Below are 24,373 nucleotides of genomic sequence, written 5' to 3'. Positions count from 1 at the left end.
TCAAAGAACGTATCTGTTTTTGATCACCCTGGCACCTAGGTACTTAGCACAGTGTCTGGGACATCACAGATGTGTAATCAATACTTGCTGAGTAAATGCATGAATGCACCAGGGTTTGGACTTCCAGCACTTTCATTTTCTAGCTGTGTGAATTTGGGCACATTCCTTTAATTTTTCTAGCTTTAAGTTTGTTCTCAGTCAAGTGAAGTTGATAATATACACTGCCTTCATTGTCATGAAGATTAAGAGGGGCAATTAAAGTAAAAAAATGCTTAACACAGTGCCAAGCATGTAGCAGAAAATAAATGTTTGAATATTTGTATTAATCTTCAGCCATCACATAGCCCTTCAAAAAACACCGTGGCTTTTTTGTACTTAAAATTCAATGCGATTTTTAGTTGAGTCTAGATCAGTGCTTTTTCATCTTACAGATGAGGAAATGCAGGAAGAGAAGGCTTTAGTTTCTTGCCTTGGGTCAGTGGTTGCTTAAAGTCCATTCTTCATTTTGGCAATGAGGACATTTCCTTTCTAAATCCAAGATTCATAAGTACTGAATGTAAGAAGCCAGTAACCTCCTTTCTGTGTTTGATTTTTAGTCCTTGATGCTTTTTTCTCCTCATCAGAGTTTCATCTCTCATTTCTACCTGAGATTCTATCTTCCCTCATATTTATGTTTAAATGAATGAAGTAGTATAAATCCTTCTTCAAAAGAACTAAATTTGGATCTGTTACCAAGAGGACTGGGTTCTATTGTCTGTTCTTTGCCTCATGTACAAAGAAGCCCAGTTCCAGAGGAGGGGAGAGAAGAGAAAGATGGTGTCTTCATGGATGGATGGTACCCAGGAGCTCCCATCACACAAGATGCATCCTGGGTTTGGGGAAGTGAGATGACTTCCAAACCTCACCCACTGGTGGAGTGTTGACCCCACTCTATAACTATGAACAAGCCTGAGCCAGTCACACATCATGTGACTTGAGGCCAAGGTTAACAGACCATCCATACTCCAGCTTCAATGTCTTTCACACCGCCTAGGGGTCAGTTCACTCTTGTTCAGATTCTTGGCTTTGTCTACTATTAAAAAATTCTCTTCCTATTCTTTGGACTTTCCTTTGAGCTTGGTATCTTTAGCTCGGTCTTCAGCCCTGATGATGCTAGTAATGGTAAAATAATAATTCATCTTTATCACATACCTGCCATGTGCCATATATAATATATATTCTTTGTAATTTTTATAATAATCCTTTATTATATTCAGTTTACAGACAAGGAAACTGAAGATCGTAGATATGCTATTACTTTCATATCACAGTTTATAAGTGGCTGAGTTGACATTTGTACCCAGGCCCTTCTGACACCCCAGCTTTATCCTTTTTAGCAGGTGACATTGTTTCTCTTTAGCTCCTATTTTCAGAGGCCAAACCCTAGATGTTTCCCTCAATTGGACCTCCCCAGTCCCTACTAAAACAAAACTGTAGACAGTAACACCAGGCATAGATCATATTGTCTCACTCTTGAGTTTAAGGTCTTCTAACCTGCTGGTTATGGGCAAATCAGAGAATGAGGTGGGATGTAGGAAGAAAGAGGGGTTAGGGATGGTGATGTTGCAGGGCCGTAGGGGTGGGGAGGATAACAGGATAGTGGATGTCAGAAGAAACATGTGTAGAGGTAAAATGGTACTCATTCATCAAAGATTCTTTTATGGCTCAATAACCCATTAAACTGTGGGGCCCATTTATAATGGGATCTCATCCAAGGGTGCATTTATTTAATCATTGCTCCACCCTCACCCCCACAGGACCCTTGGGTATTCTCAGCCCTGAGAATATGTATGGTTTTATTTCATAATTGGCTTGTCCCAGAAGGCCTGAGTGCTAGCGGAGGAAATAGCTCACTGAAAGAGAGACAAACACAAAAAAGTTCATGATTATTTTAATGCCTCTACTGAACGGACCTACCAAGACATTGGGGACCTTCAGTGATGGCACTCAAAGCAATCAACCATTTGCTAATTTCAAAGATGATGTTATATTTCTGGATCTTTATGGCTTTGGGCCCTTTTCATCAAGCATAGTCCAACTACAGTCTTAAAATAACTGTTGTCTTTTCATGCAGCCAACATCCACATCTTTTACAATTCATGAGCCACTCCAAATCACGTGGAAAAATATTGGCTGCTTTCATACTAGACAGTGTCCTCATTGGACATGGAGATAAGACCAAGAAGATCCGTTTCTCTTACCCTGGTTACATCAATGAGCCATGCAGCAAGGACCCTTAGAATTTGACCCACTTCTCCCTTGGAGCATCCTGACAAGCCAAGACAAAGAACAGCACCTGGACCTTTGGATCCAGTGAACATTAGTCCTTCTCTGATTATCCAATATCCTAAATGCCCTTGACTTCTCCTCTTTAAAGTTGCAATGCTCTATTTAGGCCTCTACAGTAAATTATAGAAAATGTGCTACAAAATGGAAATCTCTCTGGACCTGGACGAAGCCTGAGATAACGTTAATTCCTCTTTGGCCATATAAAGAGCCCATGTTGTGTCTGTTCTGAATTAGCAACATGTAGATGAAGTGATTCTGATGATGATGATAGAGCTTTAGATTGTAAGCATAATTGCTGCCTTCCAATTGGTTTTTGGTGATGTGAGGCTCATACCAATAGTGGAAGCCAGAGAAATTGCCCAGATGTGGTCTTTTCATTGCTTGTTAAAGTTATTTCCTTTTCATGATACCAACAAGACAGTACAAGCAGTATAGCTTTGGTGAATCTCATTACGTAACCCTTGACTTTTATTTAATAATGACTGAAAAAATCTACAATCCTTCTATCTCTGAAATTCATGTCTTATTATTTTATATGAGCTATATATTCTGAATTCACAATTCTCCAGTTTCATGCCTTTCCCACTTACCCTCACCTTTCATTCTCTAGTGACCCTGGATTGCTAATTGTGCCTCCTATATATCATACCCTTTCCTGCTTCTATGATTCTGAACAGTTTTCTCAACTCTCTCTTTGATTGCCCCAGGGTCTGTTTCACAGGTGGAATCCTCCAGGTCCTTCAAAACCCAATTAAACACAAAGGGAGCAGTGGTGGTAACAAAGCTAACTCTCAGTTTGAACATTAGGGTAAAAGCCACAAGAGGAACAATTCTTATGTAAGGCTTCAGCTACCTCTTCATTTGTATTTGTCCATAAGTGAGAGTTCAATAAATGTTTGTTGAGTTAAAAAATTAAAAATAGCATTCAGACATCATGTTTTTTGAGAAGCTCAAGGTCTCATTAAACCACCTGGCATACACAACTGTGGGCCCAAGAAAGCTTGAGATTGAAAGGGTGAATGGCTACCATAGCATGTACGGATTTAAGTGTCTTAGTTTTTAGTCTGAAAAGATTGGGGGCAGGTGTCTTGAGAAAAGCTAATAGGGCCAAAGGTAATGCTATTTATTTATTTTAAGAGATGGGGTTTCGCTCTGTCACCAGGCTGGAGGGCAGTGGCACAGTCATGGCTCACTGCAGCCTCAACCTCCTAGGCTCAAATGATCCTCCTAGCTCAGCCTAGTAGCTGGAACCACAGATGAATGCCACCATGCCTGGTTATTATTCTTTTTTACTTTTTGTAGAAATAGGGTCTCACTACTTTTGTCCAGGCTGGTCTTGAACTACTGGGCTCAAGTGATCCTCCTGCCTTGGCCTTCCAAAATGCTAGGATTACAGGTGTGAGTCACTGCACCTGGTCTGGTAATCCTTTTTAAATCCTTGTGCTTCTAACTCCCTAGTTCCGTGACCACTCAAGTTTCCAGTGCTACAATGATGGCAGACAAGACCAACCCACAGTTGATGCTACAGCCTGACCTTGCCTGCTGGGAAGTGAAGGAGCAATTATGTCCTATGCTTAAACTGAGTGATGAACACATTGCCGAGGGCCATTTTGGGGGCATGCTTCCATCTCTGCAGAAAGTATAAAACTAAATCAAATAAATATAAACAGAATCATCCAGGGAGGCCTTGAGGCTGATCTCTGCACAATGTTACATCCAGAAGACATAAATTGAACTCAAAAGAACTTTGAAAAGTAATGTATTTAGGGAAGTTCTTCCGAGGATGTAGAGATGAAGAAAAAGATCACATAAGACAGTGAATCAAAATATTCTTAAACCTCAGGAGGTTGATCCACTAAATTTGACTCATTTGTAAAATAAGTTCCGCCAAATGCATGCATTTGTTTCCAATTCCTTAAACTCAAAGTTGTATATCCGCATTGTAAACAAAGATATTTGACCAATAAGAGATAGACAAGTTTAAGAAGTGATGCTGGCCTCAGGATACTGGATGGCTGGCAAGTCAAGACTGGCGTTTCTGGAACAGTCTATTTTCTACTATGTACGATCCATGATGTATAATGAACACATTTCATGTGTATGTCACTTTAATTCTGTTATAATAGGAAAATGTAGCTCAGGAGAGGATAGCTCTGAGGAAAAAGGCCCTTTTTTATGGTACTGTCCCTGCTTCTTAACAAATAAATGATTTTCTTATACATTTAAAAATTATCTCTTCCAATGACATTCAATTGTACTTCTAAATAGGGAGAAAAATGTACGGAAAGCAATGGCTTATTTTGCTGTCTACCCTACAGAAAAATCAGGCTATATTAGAAATTCCACTGCTGACCTTACCTTAGCAGCTGTGTTACTGAAAGCCATTCAACTAATACCGTTTTTCAAAATTTAGATTTATGCATCAGTAAAGCAAATGCCAAATACATTTCTACTGCTTTCATAATGCCTGATGAGATCATATCACAGCTTTTTAGATTGGGTTTAGACTTGATTTTTTAAAGAAACAAAGGCTAAATAGACATCTTTCTCTGTATTAGTGGTTTTTCTTTCATCATTTCTTAATGTATCTTTGGTATCAAAATGGATTCATGTCTGTACTTCAGAGATTCAATGTTTGCTTGAAGGTAAATAGGTGATAGGTTCAGTCTGTGATATGCGTTAAATGTGAGAGATGATGGAAAACTCATCTGAGGTCATCTGGATTGATGGTCTTGAGTGTCAGGTCAGCATGAAAGGTCTCTACCCTCCTTCCAGAGTTTGTTGCCAGAATGTGGTGTCATGAACACAGTTGGATGAGCCACAGCGGTAATGGGGCAAGATAAACAAAGAGGATGAAAAGAGAAGGGAGGTTGCATATTGAGATTGGTGGTAAGGAAAGCCAGAGATACACAAGGAAAGTATAAAACGCAGTCAGGATGAGCAACTCTGTACTTTGCCCAAGAGAGAATTAGTGGTTGAAATCCTTTATGTCAGTATTGCAGAGGTGGATGTCAAGAGAAGAAGGTGGAAAGGTTCCTCTCCTCCAATGAATAGCATGGCAGAAACTGTCAATTAAGCATCAACATCTTTTTTTATCTTCTTGGTAAGTAAAAATACCTCAGATATTAGCCAGACACTTGGATGCTCAGAATCAGACCACACTTTCCAGACTCCCTTGCAGCTAGGTGCAACAATGACTGCGTTCTATCAGAACATAAGCAGAGGTAGTGTGTGCAATTTCCAGGAAATGATGTAGAGGGGGAAAAGTCTTGCTCTTCTCTTAGAATTTTCTCTTTGAAATGCAGATGTGATGGACAGAAAGGATTAGTCATCTTAGAGCACACACTGAAAGCTCTCAGTTGACAGCAGAACTATGAGTTAGAAGGATCTAGTTCTGCGCTGCCTAAATTTTTATGAGAAGGCAATACATTTCTTTTTTTCCTCTTGAACTTATTTTATTTATTTGCTTACTTTTTAATTAAATATTTTTTTACAACAGTTTTAGGTTCTCAGCAAAATGAGGAGGAAAGTGTAGAGATATCCTATATATCCTCTGTCCCACACATACATAGCCTCCCCTATTATTAACACCAACCATCAGACTGGTACATTTGTTACAACTGATGAACCTACACTGACACATCATCACCCAAAGTCCACGGCTTACATTAGAGTTCACTCTTAGTATATACTCTAGGGATCTGGACAAATGTCTAATGATATGTATTAACTATTATAGTATCACACAGAGTATTTTCACAGCCCTAAAAATCCTCCATGTTCTACCTATTCATCACTCTTTTGCCCACAATCCCTGACAACCACTGATCTTTTTACTGTCTTCATAATTTTGCTTTTTCCAGAATGTCATATAATTGGAAACACATAGTAGGTAGCCTTTTCAGATTGGCTCCTTTCACTGAGTAATATGCATTTAAATTTCCTTCATGTCTTTTCATGGCTTGATAGCTCATTTTCTTTTTGGCACTGAAAAATGTTCCATTACCTAATGTACCACAGTTTGTTTATCCATCTGCCCATGAAGGACATCTTGGTTGCTTCTGAGTTTTGGCAATTATAAATGAAGCTTCTATACACATCCTTCAGGTAATATCAAAGAGTATGATTGTTTGATCATATGGTTAGGATATAATTAGTTGTTGTTATTGTTTTTCCTGAGACCAGGTCTCAGTCTGTTGCCCAGGCTGGGATGCTCTGGCATACTCTCAGCTCACTGCAGCTTCAACCTCCCAGGCTCAAGTGATCCTCCTGCCTCACCCTCCCAAGTACCTTGGACTACAGGTGCATGCCACCACACCTGGCTAATTTTTGTATTGTTTGTAGAGGTGAGGTTTCACTATGTTGCCCAGGGTGGTCTTGAACCCCTGAGCTCAAGCAATCTGCCTGCCTTGGCCTTCTAAAGTGCTGGGATTACAGGCATGAGCCACTGCATGTGGCAGGATATTACTCATTTTGCAAGAAACTGCCAAATGTTTTCCAAAAGCTGGACCGTTTTGCATTTCCACCAGCAATAAATGAAAGTTCCTGTCATTCCACATCCTTGTCAGCATTTGGTCTTGTCAGTGTTCTGGACTTTGGCCATTCTAATAGGTATGTAGTGGTTTCTCATTGTTGTTCTTATTTGGATTTTTCTGATGACATATGATGTGAAGCATCTTTTGTCATGGTTATTTGTCATCTGTATATCTTCTTTGGTGAGGTGTTTGTTAAGCTCTTTGACCCATTTTTAAAATTGGGTTGCTTGGTTTTTTATCGTTGAGTCTTAAGAGTTCTTTGGGTTGGTCATGGTGGCTCATGCCTGTAATCCCAGCACTTTCAGAGGCTGAGGCAGGTGGATCACCTGAGGTCAGGAGTTTGAGACCAGCCTGACCAAGATGGTGAAACCTTGTCTCTACTAAACATACAAAAATTAGCTGGGCATGGTGGTATGTGCCTGTAGTCCCAGCTACACAGGAGGCTGAGGCAGGAGAATTGCTTGAACCTGGGAGGCAGAGGTTGCAGTGAGCTGAGATTGCACCACTGCACTCCAGCCTGGGCGACAGAGTGAGAATCCATCTCAAAAAAAAAAAAAAAAAAAAGAGTTATTTGTATATTTTTTCAGATATGTCTTTTGCAAATATTTTTACTCATTCTGTGGCTTGTCTTTTCATTCTCTTGAACTGTCTTTTGCAGAGAAAAAATTTTAATTTTAAAGAAGTCCAGGCTGGGCGTGGTGGCTCACGCCTGTAATCCCAGCACTTTGGGAGGCTGAAGAGGGTGGATCACGAAGTCAGGAGAACGAGACCATCCTGGACAATGTGGTGAAATCCTGTCTTTATTAAAATACAAAAAATTAGCCAGGCATGATGGCGCGTGTCCGTAGTCCCAGCTACTCAGGAGGCTGAGGCAGGGGAATCGCCTGAACCCGGGAGGTGGAGGTTGCAGTGAGCTGAGATCGTGCCACTGCACTGCAACCTGGCCACAGAGTGAGACTGTTTCAAAAAAAAAAAAAAAAAAAAAAAAAAAAGTCCAGCTTACTCTTTTTTTCATGGACTGTGCTTTTGGTGTTATATTTGAAAAGTCATTGCCAACGCAGAGGTCATTTAGATTTTCTCGTGTATTATTTTCTAGAAGCTTTAGTTTTGCATTTTACATTTAGGTCTGTGATTCATTTTGAGTTAATTTTTGTGAAGGGTGTCTTTATCCCTGATATCTTTTTTTGTTTTGAAGTCTGCTTTGTCTGAAATTAACATAGGTACTTCTGCTTTCTCTTGATTAGTGTTAGCATGGTATATCTTTCTTCATACATTTACTTTTAATCTATATGAGTTTTTACATTTAAAGTGGGTTTCTTGTAGCTAACATTTATAGTTGAGTCTTGGTTTTTGATCCACTCTGACAATCTCTGTCTTTTAATTGGTACATTGAGACCATTGATATTCAAAGTGATTATTGATATAGTTGGATTCACACCCACCATATTTGTTCCTGTTTTCTATTTGTTGCCCTGTCATTTTTTCCTTTTTTTTTTTGTCTTCCATTCTTTTTCTGCCTTTTTGGTTTTAATTGAGCATTTTATATCATTCTATTTTCTCTCTTTTCTTAGCATATTAAGTATACTTTTTAAAAAATGATTTTCCTTTAATGGCTCTTAGAGTTTACAATAAATACTTACAACTAATCCAAGCCTACTTTCAAATAACACTGTGCAACTTTTATGGGCAGTGTGAATACTGTATAGTAAAAACCTAACCTCAATTCCTTCCTCTTATCCTTGGTATTATTACTGTTATTCATTTCACTTATACATAAGCATGCATAAACATATATATATATATGTACATATATGTATACACACACACACACACACACACACACAGACACACACACACAAGGTATATAGATGCTCCTCAACTTACAAGGGAGTTATGTTCCAGTAGACTCATCACTTTGCATTTAATAACCTGATAAATCCATTATGATGCTGAAAAATCATGACTATCTGTACAAGTAACCACACAAAATCAAATACATTGTTGCATTAATATTTAGATCAAACTGTTATCTGTTAGATCTGTTAAGAATAAAAGAAAAAAGTTTTTATTTTAGCTTCGTGTATTCCTTCTTTGATGATGCTATTCCTTTTTTTAAATGTAGATCCAAACTTCTGACCCATATTATTTTCCTTCTCTCTAAAGATCTTCTTTTAACATTTTTTGCAAGGCAGGTCTCCTGGCAATGAATTCCCTCAAGTTTTTTGTCTGAGAAAGTCTTTCTTTTTTCTTCACTTTTGAAGGTTAATTTTGCGGGTCACAGAATTCTAGGTTGCTGTTTTGGTTTTTTTTTTCTCAATGCACTTTAAATATTCCACTTCGTTCCCTTTTTGTTTGTGTGGTTTCTGGGAAAAGTCAGATGTAATTCTTATTTTTGCTTCTGTATAAGTAAAGTATTTTTTTCTTCTCGCTTCTTTTAAGACTTTTTCTTTACTTTTGAATTTCTATGGTTTGAAAATGATTTGCCTGGGTGTAATTTTTTTTGAAATTTATTCTGCTTGGTGTTCTCTGAGCTTCCTGGCTCTGTGGTTTGGTGTCTGATACTAACTTGGGGAAAATTCTCAGTCATTATTGTTTCAAATATTTCTTCTATTCCTTTTTCTCTTTTTTCTCCTTCTGGTATTCCCATTCTGCATATTTACATTTTTTGAAATTGTCCCACAGTTCTTGAATCTTCTATTCTGTTTTTCCAGTCTTCCTTCTCTTTCCTTTTCAGTTTTGGAGGTTTCTATTGATATATCCTCAAGTTTAGAAATTCTTTTCTCAGCCATGTCCAGTCTCCTAATTAGCTCCTCAAAGGTGTTCTTCATTTCTGTTACAGTGTCTTATATCTCTAGCATTTCTTTTTGTTTCTTTCTTACGATTTCTGTCTCTTTGCTTACCTTGTCCATGTGTTCCTGCATTCAGCCTACTTTATCCATTACACCCTCTAGCACACTAATCATAATTGTCTTAAATTTCTGTCTGCTAATTCCTACATCTTGCCATGTCTAGTTCTCTTGCTTGCTCTGTCTCTTCAAACTGTGTTTTTTGCCTTTTAGTATGCCTTGTACTGTTATCTGGATAGCTGGACAGGATGTACTGGGTAAAGAGAACTGCTAGAAATAGGCCTTCATAACATGGTGGTAAGGTATTGGGGGAGCATTTTACAGTCCTGTGATTAGGTCTGAGTCTTTCAATGGGCCTGTGCCCCTGGGCTGTGAACCTCAAGTGCTCCTCAGTTCCTCCCCCAGCCCCATCTCCTTTATTTGGGACAGGATTGCTAGTATGTCCCTTTCCCCAACTCAGTTAAGCTCTGATAAAACATCAGCAAGTTAGACTGTGGTTAACTAGTTTCCGGCGAGGGCAGGCCTTGTTTGGCTGGACTGGATAGACTGCTCTGTAGTATTAGGTTTTGCATTACTTTTTTTTGTGTTGCTTGTTTGTTTGTTTTTGAGACAGAGTCTCACTCTTATCGCCCAGGCTGGAGTGCAATGCGTGATCTTGGCTCACTGCAACCTCTGCCTTCCGGGTTCAAGCGATTCTCCTGCCTCAGCCTCCAGAATAGCTGGGATTACAGGTGCTTGTCACCATGCCTAGCTAATTTTTGTATTTTTAGTTATCTACTAAAATTAGTAGATAACTAATTAGTAGATAACTAAAACTAGAAAAATTAGCCAGGTGTGATGGCACGCGCCTGTAGTCCCAGCTACTCGGGAGACTGAGGCTGGAGAATCGCTTGAACCTGGGAGGCAGAGGTTGCAGTAAGCCGAGATTGGGCCATTGCACTCCCGACTGGGTAACAGAGCGCTACTTCGTCAAAAAAAAAAAAAAGAAAGAAAGAAAAAGAAAAAAAAAGAAAAGATAACCTTTATCCATACACTTGTGAAAAAATTATATTTCAGATATCAGTCTGAATAATTATTGTTGAGTGTAAGATTAAAGCAAATGGCATTAAAGTGTGACCAGTATATCTGTATCTCTAAGAGTGTTTTTAAATTTCAACAGAAGCTCCTGACTCAAATAGATCTTCATTTGATGAACTATATTGGTGATATATGTATTGACTGGTGAGTTCTTGATTATTTCTGGTCTACTCTGAAAGCTGTGACTCCACTGGTCCTCAGTACCGTATTTGTAGGCTGCCTTTTTTAAATGTTCCTGAAGCTACAAATATATAAAATTGATGATATTATTCATTCACTCAGTAAGTGTTTATTCGGCTCCTACTGTGTGGGTGGAACGCCACTATGCTAGGTTCTGGGAATAAACTGAGAGTGACAGTCATGGTTCCTGTGTTTATGGACTTTACAGTCTATAGGAAGTCACAGGAAAAACCATCAGCCGGACCCTTGAAACACTCAGAGGATTGTTAATTAATCCTGTTTAGTTAACAGGATTTGGGTGATGTATTGTTAATCACTGAGCTGAAAGGAAATTTAAGAGATCCAGATTGATAGTTACCTTTGTATTCTGCTATTATTTCTATGGGATCACCTTATGACCATTGTAGGATATTACATCTTATTGAATTCTCTTATCTTTTTTCTAAGAAATTGTTCTTAGGTAGGTTACAAGAATGTTCTGTTGTGCTCAGATAAGGGAATTTTTAAAAAGCAATCATGCAATTATTTTAATGAATTGTAGGAAATACAAGCACCTGATAAGAAATTCTATGTTTCGTTTAAATTAACGAAGCTGTTCTTGCAGTATACCATGTGGTGGAAATGTTTTTCTTCAAACCACTATACTTGGTCTTCCCATTAAATATAACATTTTTTAATTGTTGTATTTTGGTTCTTAGTTTTGGAAAAACCAAAACATCATACCAACATGGCATTATTTTTATGCATCGAATATTAAGGTATACAATAATTGCATTTTAAAAAATTCCAAATATTTTCCATTTCATTCCAATTTATGATAAGCAAATTAGGTAAGAAAAAAATTAATGCACCCACCTAAAACCCTTTAAACAATTCTTTCTTTTTAATTATCTTTTGGTAATAAAGATGACAAAAATAGTCAGAATTCCAATATTAATCTTACTTCAGGGAAAAAAAAAAAGGAGACTCTGTTGAGTGGTTGAATGCCATCCTTTTTTTTTTTTTTTTTTTTTTTAGGGATGCTTTTTGTTACATCTCTTTCTAGCTCTTTTCTCATTATCTGCCTGGGAAATCCTGGCCATCTTCAGGACTCAGATCAAGCATTAGCTCCTCTACAAAACCTTTGCAGTGCCTCTTCTTCCTGGGCAGAGCTGGTGTCTCCAAGCTCTGAGTTCTGTAGCACTTCATTATAGCACTTTCTATGCTGAACTGTAATTATTTGTTTACTCTCCTGTCCCTCCCGTTAGACCTTGCCATTCCCAAAAGCACATACTATGTCAGATTCATCTTTGTATCCTCTGCTTTGGAAACACTGCCTGACACTCATCAGGGCTCAGTAAGTGTTGGATAAACAAGTTAATATGCAAAGAACCTGATAGGAAGCCAACACTGAAGAGTTTGCTCAGGACTCTTGGGTATCATTTGAGATCAGCTATGTCAATATGTGGTTCAGTTCCTGTGTATATAAGCATTACCTAATTTAATCCTCATTACAACCCAGGGAAGCAAGCACTGCTACTCTTGATTTACCAATGAAGAGACTGATGCTTGCTGCGGTTACGGAGCTCGCCTATATTGGAAAGCGCGGCTCCATGTAGAGAGTCATTCTCAATCAACAACAGCTGTTATTATCAGCACACGGAAGAGGAAGAGGCCTTATTCTGCGTTGTTCCAGAAACCAAAATGAGAATTGGCATATGGACTTCAACTTGTTGATTTTAGCTCAAGAAAAACATTTATTACATGTTTAGAACTGTCCAGCAGTGAAACAGCTTCTGTGAAAACCTAGAAAACTCTCTGTTCTTTGACATATTCACACTCATGCTGGGAAGGTGTTTCAGGGAATCCGGCGCTGAGATTTTCTCATTGGATGGGATGGGAGACAAGACTGAATGGCATGTGCCAATCCATGGCTGCTGGTTGATTCCTCCACCTAGGGGCCCCTACCTAGAATATGCATGCCCCAACAACTACACCACTCTCTGTCCTCTCGCCCAGCTTTATTCTCTTTCATAGCACACGTCACTACTTGTAGTAATAGCATGTTCTTTCTTTATTTGTTATTTTTATTTTCTATTTTTTGCTGCCATCCAAACCAAAATGAAAAGTCCTTGAGGACAGGGACTGGATCATGTTCACCACTGAGTCCTCAGTAGAAGCTGGCTCTCACAGGGGCTTGGCAAATATTTGTTGAACGAATCAATGTCAAATATCCCACTTACATGCTCAAATCTAGATGTGGACTTAGAAACACATCTATTCTCTTACATCCTCCTTGCTCCTTCAACCAGCTTCCTTCATTCTTCTCTGCTACCCTTGTTCCCCCAGCCAGCCACTCTTCAGATGATTTGGTGATCCCTGTAAGGAGACATTCCTCTGAAAGAGTTCCCTTGCGCTTCTGTGAAGGACCTAAGACCTACTGCCAGCAGTGCTGGGGAATTCCACAGTGCTGGGGAATTCTGTGTGTGGTATTCTCCTCACTTCTCAGGCCATTTGCCATTCCCGGGCACATATGGAAATCCCTTAATTATCAACATTGGTGTGACAGTGCATACTCTAATCCAGCGTTTCAAGCACAGCAGAAAGAAGGAAAAGAAGTAGATCCTTCCCTTTAGAAGAACGAAGTCAAATAAATGGGAAGAAAATATGGTCGGGCGCGGTGGCTCACGCCTGTAATCCCAGCACTTTGGGAGGCCGAGGTGGGCGGATCACGAGGTCAGGAGATCGAGACCATCTTGGCTAACACGGTGAAACCCCGTCTCTACTAAAAATACAAAAAATTAGCCGGGCGCGGTGGCGGGCGCCTGTAGTCTCAGCTACTCCGGAGGCTGAGGCAGGAGAATGGCGTGAACCCGGGAGGGGAAGCTTGCAGTGAGCCGGGATCGCGCCACTGCACTCCAGCCTGGTGACAGAGCGAGACTCCATCTCAAAAATAAATAAATAAATAAATAAATAAATACATACATACATACATACATACATACATAAAAATCTATTATAGGGGACTATTATATCCCACTCCTAATGTTTCCCTCCGTGTGGAGGAATTTCCACTAGAGAAATGCTCCTGGCCTCTCTCGTCTTTCTGGCTTACTTATCCCTGAAAGAAGGGGAGTGGCTTTTTCTGAGAAGCGCATTTGAGAGAAAGGACCCTCCCTCCCTCCCTTTCTCCCTCCCTCCCTCCCTCCCTTTCTCCCTCCCTTCCTTCCTTCCTTCCTTCCTTCCTTCCTTCCTTCCTTCCTTCCTTCCTTCCCTTCCTTCCTTCCCTCCTTCCTTCCTTCCTCTTTTCTTCTGAGAGGAAACCTGTGCTTTAGTTTGCTGTCTGCCAAATGGTTAGTTTAGCAGTCAAGACTGCTTCTTTCGATGGGGAGACCTGATGTTTTCTATTGCTACCTACAGCTGGGTGGGTATTTCTGATTCATGGTGGGGATGCAGTTTTAGGAACATCTTACCATTTTCCATCTAAGCTGTGCCCATTCATTGGGTCTTTATCAATAACAAAGAAAAATTTTTAAACTTTCTTGTTTCTCTGCCTTTTGTCTCTCTTTTAGCGGGTTCTAAACTTGGGTGGTAAGAAGAGGTGAAATTTTAACCCCTTAAGAGCTCAATAAAATAGAAAAGTAGGATCATATTATGGTTGAAATCTTCTCTCTCATCCAGGTAGTGTGTAATAGAGGAGTTGGGCTTCCCACAGATTCTCCTCTCAGGTCCAGGAAAATGATGGTTTCCCCATGTCTGTTTATCACTGCATGAGTGAGTTGGGGATTTATTGAATATAGGGTACTGAGGGCCCCAGGACATCTCCTGAGATCTGAGTGAAAAGACCCAGGTGATAGGTACAAGATGTTATTCTCCAAGGAGGTTGGAAATCACTGCTCTCCTCATCCCCAAGTATGGCCTGAAAATGCCTAAGTCTCTCTTTGAATTCCTGACAAGAATTTCCTGGGACCTCTTGCATCTGGCTAATAGCAGGTTTTTTTTTGTTTTTTTTTTTCTAGTTCTCTTCTTATATGTCTGCCCCTTCTCAAAAATGAGACCATATAGGGGTGAATTCCACTGCCATCAGCCTAGTCATTTTGCATTTGTGATTAGATTCCAAAGAAAAGCTAAATTCTAGTGTGTTCTAGGTTTGATTCACAACCACAAATGACATTTTAACTGTCATTAAACTTTCAGAATAAAGACAATGACAATCATCTCAGATAATAATCCTATTCTTCCATCAGTCACTTGGTCAAGATGAGTATCTACAGAACTTCCTTCTGTCCTTTGTCTTTCAACTTGATTTCTAGTCTCTTTCTAAATCTTTATCCTCTACTGCATTTAATGCTTGGAACTTGGGAGACTCCATAGACACGAATTAACTTGCTTTAGTCTGCTTTCCTCTTGTCTCTTCCTATTTAGCAGAGTTCCCAGCTCCTGATCACTTCGGCTGTCACATACTTCTTACCACTTTTGTTAAACACTCTTTCCTCCTTATGCTGGAATCTCAACACTGGAAGCATAGGTGAAACCTATAGATAGATAATTGATTATTCCTGCCCCGCAACAATAAGAATAAATGCTAGAAGCAATGGGATTAATAAGGAGTGGAAGATACAATTCATTGAGCTTTACGCTTATAATTTATTCTCCTTTTTGGGTGTACTTTAATCAATGAGCATATGGATTGAAGTTAGTTTATTAACTATTATTTTGTTAGTTCGTTTTTAAGGCAGTGAACAGACTGTTAACAACAGGACTGAGCTCTGGGCTAGGAGGCAGTGATTCACTGGAAAGATCAGAGCCTGTCTGAGAAACAGGGCAGTAAACAGAAAGCTCAGTGATGTATGAGTGCTGAAGACTTTTTTGTTAAGATGCACAGGTGAGACATTTTTCTTCATTGCTCTTCATTCTTTGAGCCTACCTAACATGATAAAGGCAGGGGTCTTGATAATCCTCAGAGAAGAGAGCAGGCCAGTTGCCATGGTGTCTTCTGGCTTGAGGCACAAACAGTTCTCAGGGGTGGGTTTTCTCATTAATGGGCTGGCGGGTCAAGGTGCTGTGGATTTGATGCTATCCCGTGCAATGTTCGCAACCCTCCTGTGGAGGAAGTATTAGGCCTCTCTATACAGAGGAAGAAAGGGAGACAGAGGGGACAAAGTAACTAGCAAATGTCAAACGGCTGTGAATGACAGGACTTGAATGAGGTCCATCATTTCTAAGCCCAGAAGCTTCACTCCATTGTCACACTGCCTTCACCGGATCCCACGACTTCTTGTGGTTCCCTTATTCATCGTTGATTCATTTCATCCACCACTGTAGTCTCCTTGCCCTCTAGAAGGTCACAATCTGGTACCTGACAGTAGTGAGTCAAGCAACCAGCTCGGGTGGGGGAGGCTGAGACCCCACAGCATGCTGGGAGTGCTGGCTGCGGCACCAAAACACTTATCCATGCTGGTTTTATTTCTTCCAGGAGGAAGACAGAGAATCTAGGAAGGTGCCAGGGATGATTTCTCATCCCAAAGCCCTGGGAGAAATCCCATCTCTGGGCAAGAAGAGAATCTGAACGCAAATGGATGAAGATGCTAATGAGGCTCAGATGATGAGAGCACACTAGGCTCACAGCATGCTGACAAATCCAGAAACAGGCTATGCTTCCCTCCCGCCTTCCTAAGACTTCAGCTAAGACACTGCACATGCCCGTCCCTCTGCAGGAAGGCCATCCACAGTTATATCTTGCTTTAAAAAAGCAAAACTTTGAAAAATAAAATGTACAAAATTGGGTAGTTATTTGCATTATAAAGCAATTTCATTTATTTAAACAGTCTACTGAGCTCATATAGGGCATGATTTGGGCTATAGAAATTCAGTTAGAATTGAGATTTACACCAAAAAGTTGACTATGAAAGGCCTAGTTTTATCCCCTGAATTGGAAGCTTGTGGTGAGAGAATGCAACATAAACACAAACTATTGGAAATATTTGCAACTGAGGTGCAAAGACAATACATGTCTTATTGCTCTGCTGCACACTGGGGCTAACGAACTTTCTAAACCTGCCTTGATATCCTCTCTTGACCAAAAAACAGTGACATTTTCACCTCCTGCCATGTCACCCCCAAAATCTGAGGCAGCCAGCAACATTATCCACATTGGGGCGGTGGGGAAGCAAGCCCCAGCCGATGGGGGCATACCTGGGTTATTGCCTCTGAACCGTGTCAGATAGCTGTTTAAATTTTTAAATCCACACTTAAACCTTGGGTCCTGGGTCGGCACTGGTTCAAAGCAAGGGCACAGAGGAATGATCTGAGCTGTTTGTTGCTGCTACTGCAGGAGGATCAGATGAACAGGTCACACCGTGCATCACACTGGTCATACAATCTCAGTAGGTGTTTATTCTGGGCTCTGTGTCACAGATGCTAACACTCACCACTTGGTATCGAGACTGGAAATAGCACGCCCTTTTTAGAACCCACAATGGCTCTCAAGAAGCTAGTCTCAGATAAAAACCTTGAGCCTCATCTTGGGGATTTGCCAGCGTCTGACCTGCAAACCTGTTTATCCACCCTTACAAAGAATTCTACTCATTTTCTGCTTTTATGCATTTACTCATCAGATATAGACTAAACTGCCAATTTATTCTTTGAAATTAAGCTTTTTCACCTCCACAATCCTACAAGGGTTTGACCCTCACGAGGACAATGACACCGTCTGTCTATTTTTATTTAACAGTTGTGTCTCCGGGCATAGCCCACTGCTAGAATTATGCCTCCTGTGACTTTGCTGCCAGTTGTCAGGACAAACTGTAAAGCCACAGTAATTCAAACGGTGTAGGACTGATGCACAAATGAACAGATCAATTCCAGGGGCAGAAGAGATGGCCTAGAAACAAATCAAAGCATATATTAAAATGAGTTTTTGAGTTTACTTTTTATAAAAAATCCTTATTGAACAAATTTATGCTCCGTTCATGATAGTGGTGCTCACAAAACGTTGGTGAACAAGACAGGTACAGTCCCTGTCTCAGTGGAGCTACTAGTGGATGGTGGGAAAGGAAAACTTTAAATGAATAGTTTCACTTGTGATATGTGCTCATGAGGGATGGAGCACTTGTGCTCTCATCTCAGAAACTTTATACTCATTGCTTCTTCTGGAATTTTTCTTTCCTCATTTCCCAAGGTATTTTCCTGTTACCTGAGGTGATGCAGGTCTTTACTGAAATCTCACCTTCATTGAAGGTGGTCTTGTCTGACCACCCTTTCCTAAACGTCAGTCTCATTACTATGTTGACCTCTTTATTCTTATTTGTTACACATATCACTACCCAACAGAATGTTATATAATACATGTCTTTATTTGCTTATAGCTTGTCCCTGCCACTAGAATGAAAGCTACCTGAAGATAGGATTATTGTTCACTTTTATATTCACAGCCCCTGGAGGAGTACCTCCCTGGGAGAAGATGCCAATTGAATGCAAAGTAGTGATAAGTGTCACTTTGATGACAATTTGCCTTCTTAATCAGCAGAAAAAGCACATGTTAATCAATAAATTATTTGAGCATAAGTAGTTTCCCATATACCCCTACATTATTCTACATTTATCAATAAATGCCAGGTAGGTTGAGCTGCTTAATAAATCTATTACAGAAGCATATTTGAAAGAAAAGAACAACATGTCACAGTAGTTTATCACAGATGGCATATCACAAAGTGATTGCCATGTAACCATCACCCAGATGTAACCATCACCACCCCAACAGACCCCGCGACCCTGCCAGTTAGGGAAGCCAACCACCTCAGTTTGTTTAGTATTAACTCAGTTTTAACACTGCAATCCCTTGTCCTTGTTAACTCTTCAGTTATTAGAAAACTAGGATGGAGTGGTGAGAGAGGGCATCCTTGTCTTGTGCCGGTTTTCAAAGGGAATGCTTCCAGCTTTTGCCCATTCAGTATGATATTGGCTGTGGTCAAAACCACAGTGAGATACCATCTCATGCCAGTTAGGATGGTGATCATTAAGAAGTCAGGAAACAACAGATGCTGGAGAGGATGTGGAGAAAATGGAACGCTTTTACACTGTTGGTGGGAGGATAAATTAGTTCACACATTGTGGAAGACAGTGTGGCAATTCCTCAAGGATCTAGAACCAGAAATACCATTTGACCCAGCAATCCCATTACTGGGTAGATACCCAAAGGATTGTAAATCATTCTACCATAAAGACACATGCATACATATGTTTATTGCAGTGCTATTCACAATAGCAAAGATTTAGAACCAACCCAAATGCCCATCAATGATAGATTGGATAAATAAAATGTGGCATATATTTACCATAGAATACTATGCAGCCATAAGAAAAGGATGAGTTTATGTCCTTTGCAGGGACATGATGAAGTTGGAAACCATCATCCTCAGCAAACTAACACAGGAACAGAAAACCAAACACGGCATGTTCTCACTCATAAGTGGGAGTTGAACAATGAGAACACACGGACACAGGGAGGGGAACATCACACACTGGGGCCTGTTGGTGGGTTGGGGGCTAGGGGAGGGATAGCATTAGGAGAAATACCTAATGTAGGTGATGGGTTGATGGGTGCAGCGAAACACCATGGGACGTGTGTACCTATGTAAAAAACCTGCACGTCCTGCACATGTATCCCAGAGCTTAAAGTATGATTAAAAAAAAAAAAAAGAAAGAAAGAAAACTAGGATGGGAGGTCACTGTATTTAAAGTCCCTACAGTACTTTTCTGCTAACGTCACCTCTTTCCTGATTTCCAGTACTGTAAATTAGCTTTGTCTAGTTTTGAACTTCATATAAATGAAATCATGTAGTTCTCTTGCTCGATATTATTTTCATGAGATTTATTCACATTTTGCACATAGAAGAGACTCATTTATCTTGTCGCTATAAAATATTTTATTTATTTATTCATTCTACTATCAATCGACATTTGGATCATTTCTAATTTTTGGCTATTATAAATAAAGATGCTGTGAGCATTCTTCAACATGGCTATTACTGGTGAACCTATGTTATACATTTTTTTCTTTTAATTTTTATTTTTAGTTCCGGGGTACATGTGTAGGATGTGCAGGTTTGTTACATGGCTAAACATGTGCCACAGTGGTTTGCTGCACCTATCAACCCATCACCTAGATATTAAGTCCAGCGTGCATTAGCTATTTTTTCTAATACTCTCCCTCCCCTCGCCCCGTATGTATGCATTTCTGTTGGATATATCTATCCTGAGGAACAGAACTGCTGGGTCACAAAGTATGAGTATGTTCAGCTTTAGCAGGTACTGCCAAATACTTTCGCAAAGTACTTTCACCAATTTACACTCTTACTGGGAGGGTGTGAAGGTTACAGTTTCTCCATAATTGACCAATACTTGGTCTGGTCAATCCTTTTAATTTTACATATTCTTCTAAGTGTGTAAGTGGTATCTTATTATGGCTTTAGTTTGCATTTTCCTGGTGATTATCATATGTTTTAGAAAGCATCTGTTCAAATCTTTTGTCCAATTTTATATTGAATTGTCTATCTTTTCCTTATTTATTTACTCTTTATATATTTTGAATATGAATCTTTTGTTGGTAAAACAGATTAAAATACATTCTCCAATTCTGTGGCTTGACATTCCATTCTCCCAATAGTGTCCAGTGTATCTACTTTGTCATTTATAAGAAATATTTGCCAAAATGAATAACTTTGAAGAGATATTCTCCTATATCTTCTATAAGCCATTTAAAACGAAATTTTGGAGCTGAGCATGGTGGCTCATGCCTATAATCCCAGCACTTCGGGAGGCTGAGGTGGGAGGATCATTTAAGCCCAGGAGTTCAAGACTAGCCTGGGCAACAAAGTGGAACCCTGTCTCTACAAAAAATATAAAAAATTAACTGGGCATGGTGGCGCATGCCTGTAGTCCCAACTACTCGGGGGGCTGAGGCAGGAGGATCCTTGAGCCTAGGAGGTTGAAGCTGCAGCGAGTTGTGATTGTGTCACTGCATTCTGGCCTGGGTGACAGAGCAAGACCTTGTCTCAATAAATAAATAAATAAATAAATAAATACAATTGGATTTTGTATGTGTGTTAAAGGAAGGTTTAAGTTTTGTTTTATTTTGTTTTGTTTTTGCACCTGAATATCCAGTTGACACAGCATCACTGATTGTCAACACATTCATTTTTTCCTCTGCTGTGTAGTATCACCTCTGTCATAAATCAAGTGTCCATATATGTATGGATCTATCCCTGGACTCCCATTCTGTTCCATTAGTCTACTTGTCTATCCTTGTACTAATTTACTAATTAATATATTAATTACAGTGCCTTTATAATAAGTATTGATATTTGATGGTAGAAGTATTTCAAATTTATCCTAACTACTCTTTATATTTGTATTTCCATACAAATTTCAAAATTCAGGATGTCAATTTCCACGCACCCACACACACACAAAAAGATATCTTGGCAGGAATTTAGGTCAACTTGGAAAAATCAACAAATTTACATTCCAATCCATGTATCATGTGCCTAAATAAGTGTCCTCCACTTATTTATGTCTTCTTTACATCCTTCTTATACTGTTATATATGTTTATTTGTAGAAGTCTTTCATATTCATTATGTTTAGTTGTTCGAATTTTTTGACACTCTTCTACATAGTTTCATTTGTTTAATTCATTTTTAATTGTTGCTGGTTTGTGTTGCAGTTTATTCATGATACTGCCCTTGTATCCAACAACTTTGCTAAATTCATTAACTAATTCTAATTGTCATTTTTACTATGTGTACAATCATGTTGTCTGTGAATAACAGCAGCTTAATTTCTATTTCATTTTTTCTAATCCATGTACATTTATTATATATATATATATGACTATATATTTTTTATTTAGTGATGTATTACCATGGTCACAGCCTCTAATACAATGCTGAATAGGCCTGGAGAGCTCAGGTGCAATGGTTGGATGTGTTCCCCAAAGTTCATGTGTTAAAAACTTGTTCCCTAATGATGTAGTGTTTGGAAGTGGGTCCTAATGGGAGTTGTTTGGGTTATGTGAGCACTTCTCTCATGAATGAATTAATATTTTTATCACAGGAGCGGGTTCCTTATAAAAGAATGAATATGGCTTGTTCTTGTTCTCTCTATTGCCCCTTGTCTTCCGCCATGGGATGACACAGCAAGAAGGCCCTCACCAGATGCTGGCAAATTGATCTTGGATTTCCCAGCCTCCAGAACTGTGAGGAAATGAATTTCTATGTTTTATCAATTGCCTAGTCTCAGGTATTCTGTTTTAGCAACACAAAACACTAAGACAGCAGGCATCACAGTCTTGCTCCTGATCTCTGCTGAAAATTGTAATAGTTGATGATTAAGTATGGTATTTGTTGTTGGTGCTTTGTAGACACCCTTTGTCAGATTAAGGAGATTCCCTTTAATGCCTGGTTCTAGGAGATTTTTTTAAAAAATCATCAATCACGGTTAATTTTGTCATACTTTATCCTTCATCTATAAAGATAGTTATTTAGTTTTTCTCCTTTACTTTTTCTTCTTTATTCTATTAATGTGATGAATTAAGTTCTGAATCTTAAACCAATCTTGAATTCCTAAGATAAGCTTAAGATTGGTACCAAAGTATTATCTTTTTAGTATATCCTTGATCTTGGTTTGCAATTTAAGATCATTTTGATCTATGTTCCTAAGAGGAATTCACCTGGAATTTTCATTTCATTTCTTTTTTTTTTTTTTTGAGACGGACACTTGCTCTGTTGCCCAGGCTGGAGTGCAGTGGTGTGATCTCTACTCACTGCAAGCTCTGCCTCCCAGGTTCACACCATTCTCCTGCTTCAGCCTCCCGAGTAGCTGGGACTACAGGCACCTGCCACCATGCCCAGCTAATTTTTTTTGTATTTTTAATAGAGATGGGGTTTCACCGTATTAGCCAGGATGGTCTCAATCTCCTGACCTTGTGATCCACCCACCTCTGCCTCCCAAAGTGTTGGGATTACAGGCATGAGCCACCGCGCCCAGCCTTGAATTTTCATTTCTTATAATACCTTGTCAGTTTTGGGAACCAAGGTTATGTTGGCCTCCTAATACTAGTTAGAAAGTCTTCATTCTCTGTTTTCTGAAGGCCGTTATACTTCCCTTAATATTTTAAATAATGCACCAGTGGAGTCATCTTGTCTTGAAATTTTCTTTGGAAGGTTGTGTATGCATTTGTGTGTAAAACAACAACCAGTTTATAATAATCATAATTTTGTGGGTTGAGAATTTAGGCAGGGCACAGGAGAAACAGCTCTTCTCTGCTTTATCATGTATGAAGGAAATACATCCATTATTTATAGTTACAATTTTAAGGCTAGGAGAGTCATTAAAGATAATCTAGTCTATCTGGTCTGGAAGCCATCTGATCTCAGAGTTTTCTTTGTAAATAGTTATTTTAACTCTATGTATATTTCAAATACATTTTTGAATTTTTAATTTTGTGCCCTTTTTCAGTTTTCTGATGTTCTTTCTCAGTTATCATCTCTTCAAATATTGCTTCTGCTCCATACTTTTTCTCATTCTCTTCTGGTGTACCAATTATCTAAATATTCGATCTTTTAAAGGTATACCATATATTCTATATGATCTTTTATGTATTTACATGCTTTTTTTGTCTTCATCCATAGTCTGGCTATTTTTAATCAACCTGTTTTTCCAGTTTATTAATCCTTTTTTCTCCTGTGTCTAGTCTGTTGCTCAATTCACCTAGTGAGCCCTTACTTTTATAATACATTTTCAGTTCTAGAATTTTCATTAGACCCTTTAAAATATCAAATTCTCATGTAATTCTCTACTTGTCTTTTTTCCTGTTTTCTTTTAAACTTGATTTTTAGTCACTTTCCCTAACTCCTAACATGCCTGGTAATTTCTTTATTGAGAGTCAAATATTATTTATGGAAAATGACTTAGATCATCTGAGACTCTGCCTGACATCTTCCTCCATGGAGGATTAATTTTTTTCTTTCTGACAGTCAGTTAGAATAGGGTCATATCTCCTTTAGTTTGGGTTGAGTGGTTTGAATACTGGTTTCAGTTTTTGCGAGGAATGGTTTATTTCCAGCTCATCTTTATTCATAGAGTTTATCCTTCCTATTGGTTCTAACTAGAGGTCTAGGGAGTTTACCAGGGCTTCTATTATTTGCTGAGCTCTAATCTTTAATGTTTGTCTCCCCAGCTCTGCGGGTTACAAAAATCTTTGTTCAGACTCTCAGACTCTTAGACTCCACTTTGTACCCTGCTTCCTAGTCACTTGGCCCTGAGTTGTTTCAGAATTGGCAGATACCTCAAGAGGAAAAATTCTAGAATGTTGGGCTCACATCAGTATTCTCCTTTCTACTGCTTTTATGGCTCCCCAGTGCCTTCA

General features: G+C 39.2%; 1 long non-coding RNA gene across 1 annotated transcript; it reads left to right on the top strand.

Moving 5' to 3' along the window:
• Nucleotides 1–15,711: 15,711 nt before the first annotated feature.
• On the top strand, nucleotides 15,712–16,731 carry LOC105370974 (uncharacterized). Its single transcript, XR_007064765.1, has 2 exons — nucleotides 15,712–15,830; nucleotides 16,422–16,731. It is a non-coding gene; the product is annotated as an uncharacterized LOC105370974 (long non-coding RNA).
• Nucleotides 16,732–24,373: the final 7,642 nt, after the last annotated feature.

The sequence above is a fragment of the Homo sapiens genome, chromosome 15, assembly GCF_000001405.40.
Source record: "Homo sapiens chromosome 15, GRCh38.p14 Primary Assembly".
Lineage (NCBI taxonomy): Eukaryota > Metazoa > Chordata > Mammalia > Primates > Hominidae > Homo > Homo sapiens.
The sequence above is the reverse complement of the archived record's forward strand: the minus strand, read 5'-3'. Positions and strand labels throughout refer to the sequence as shown.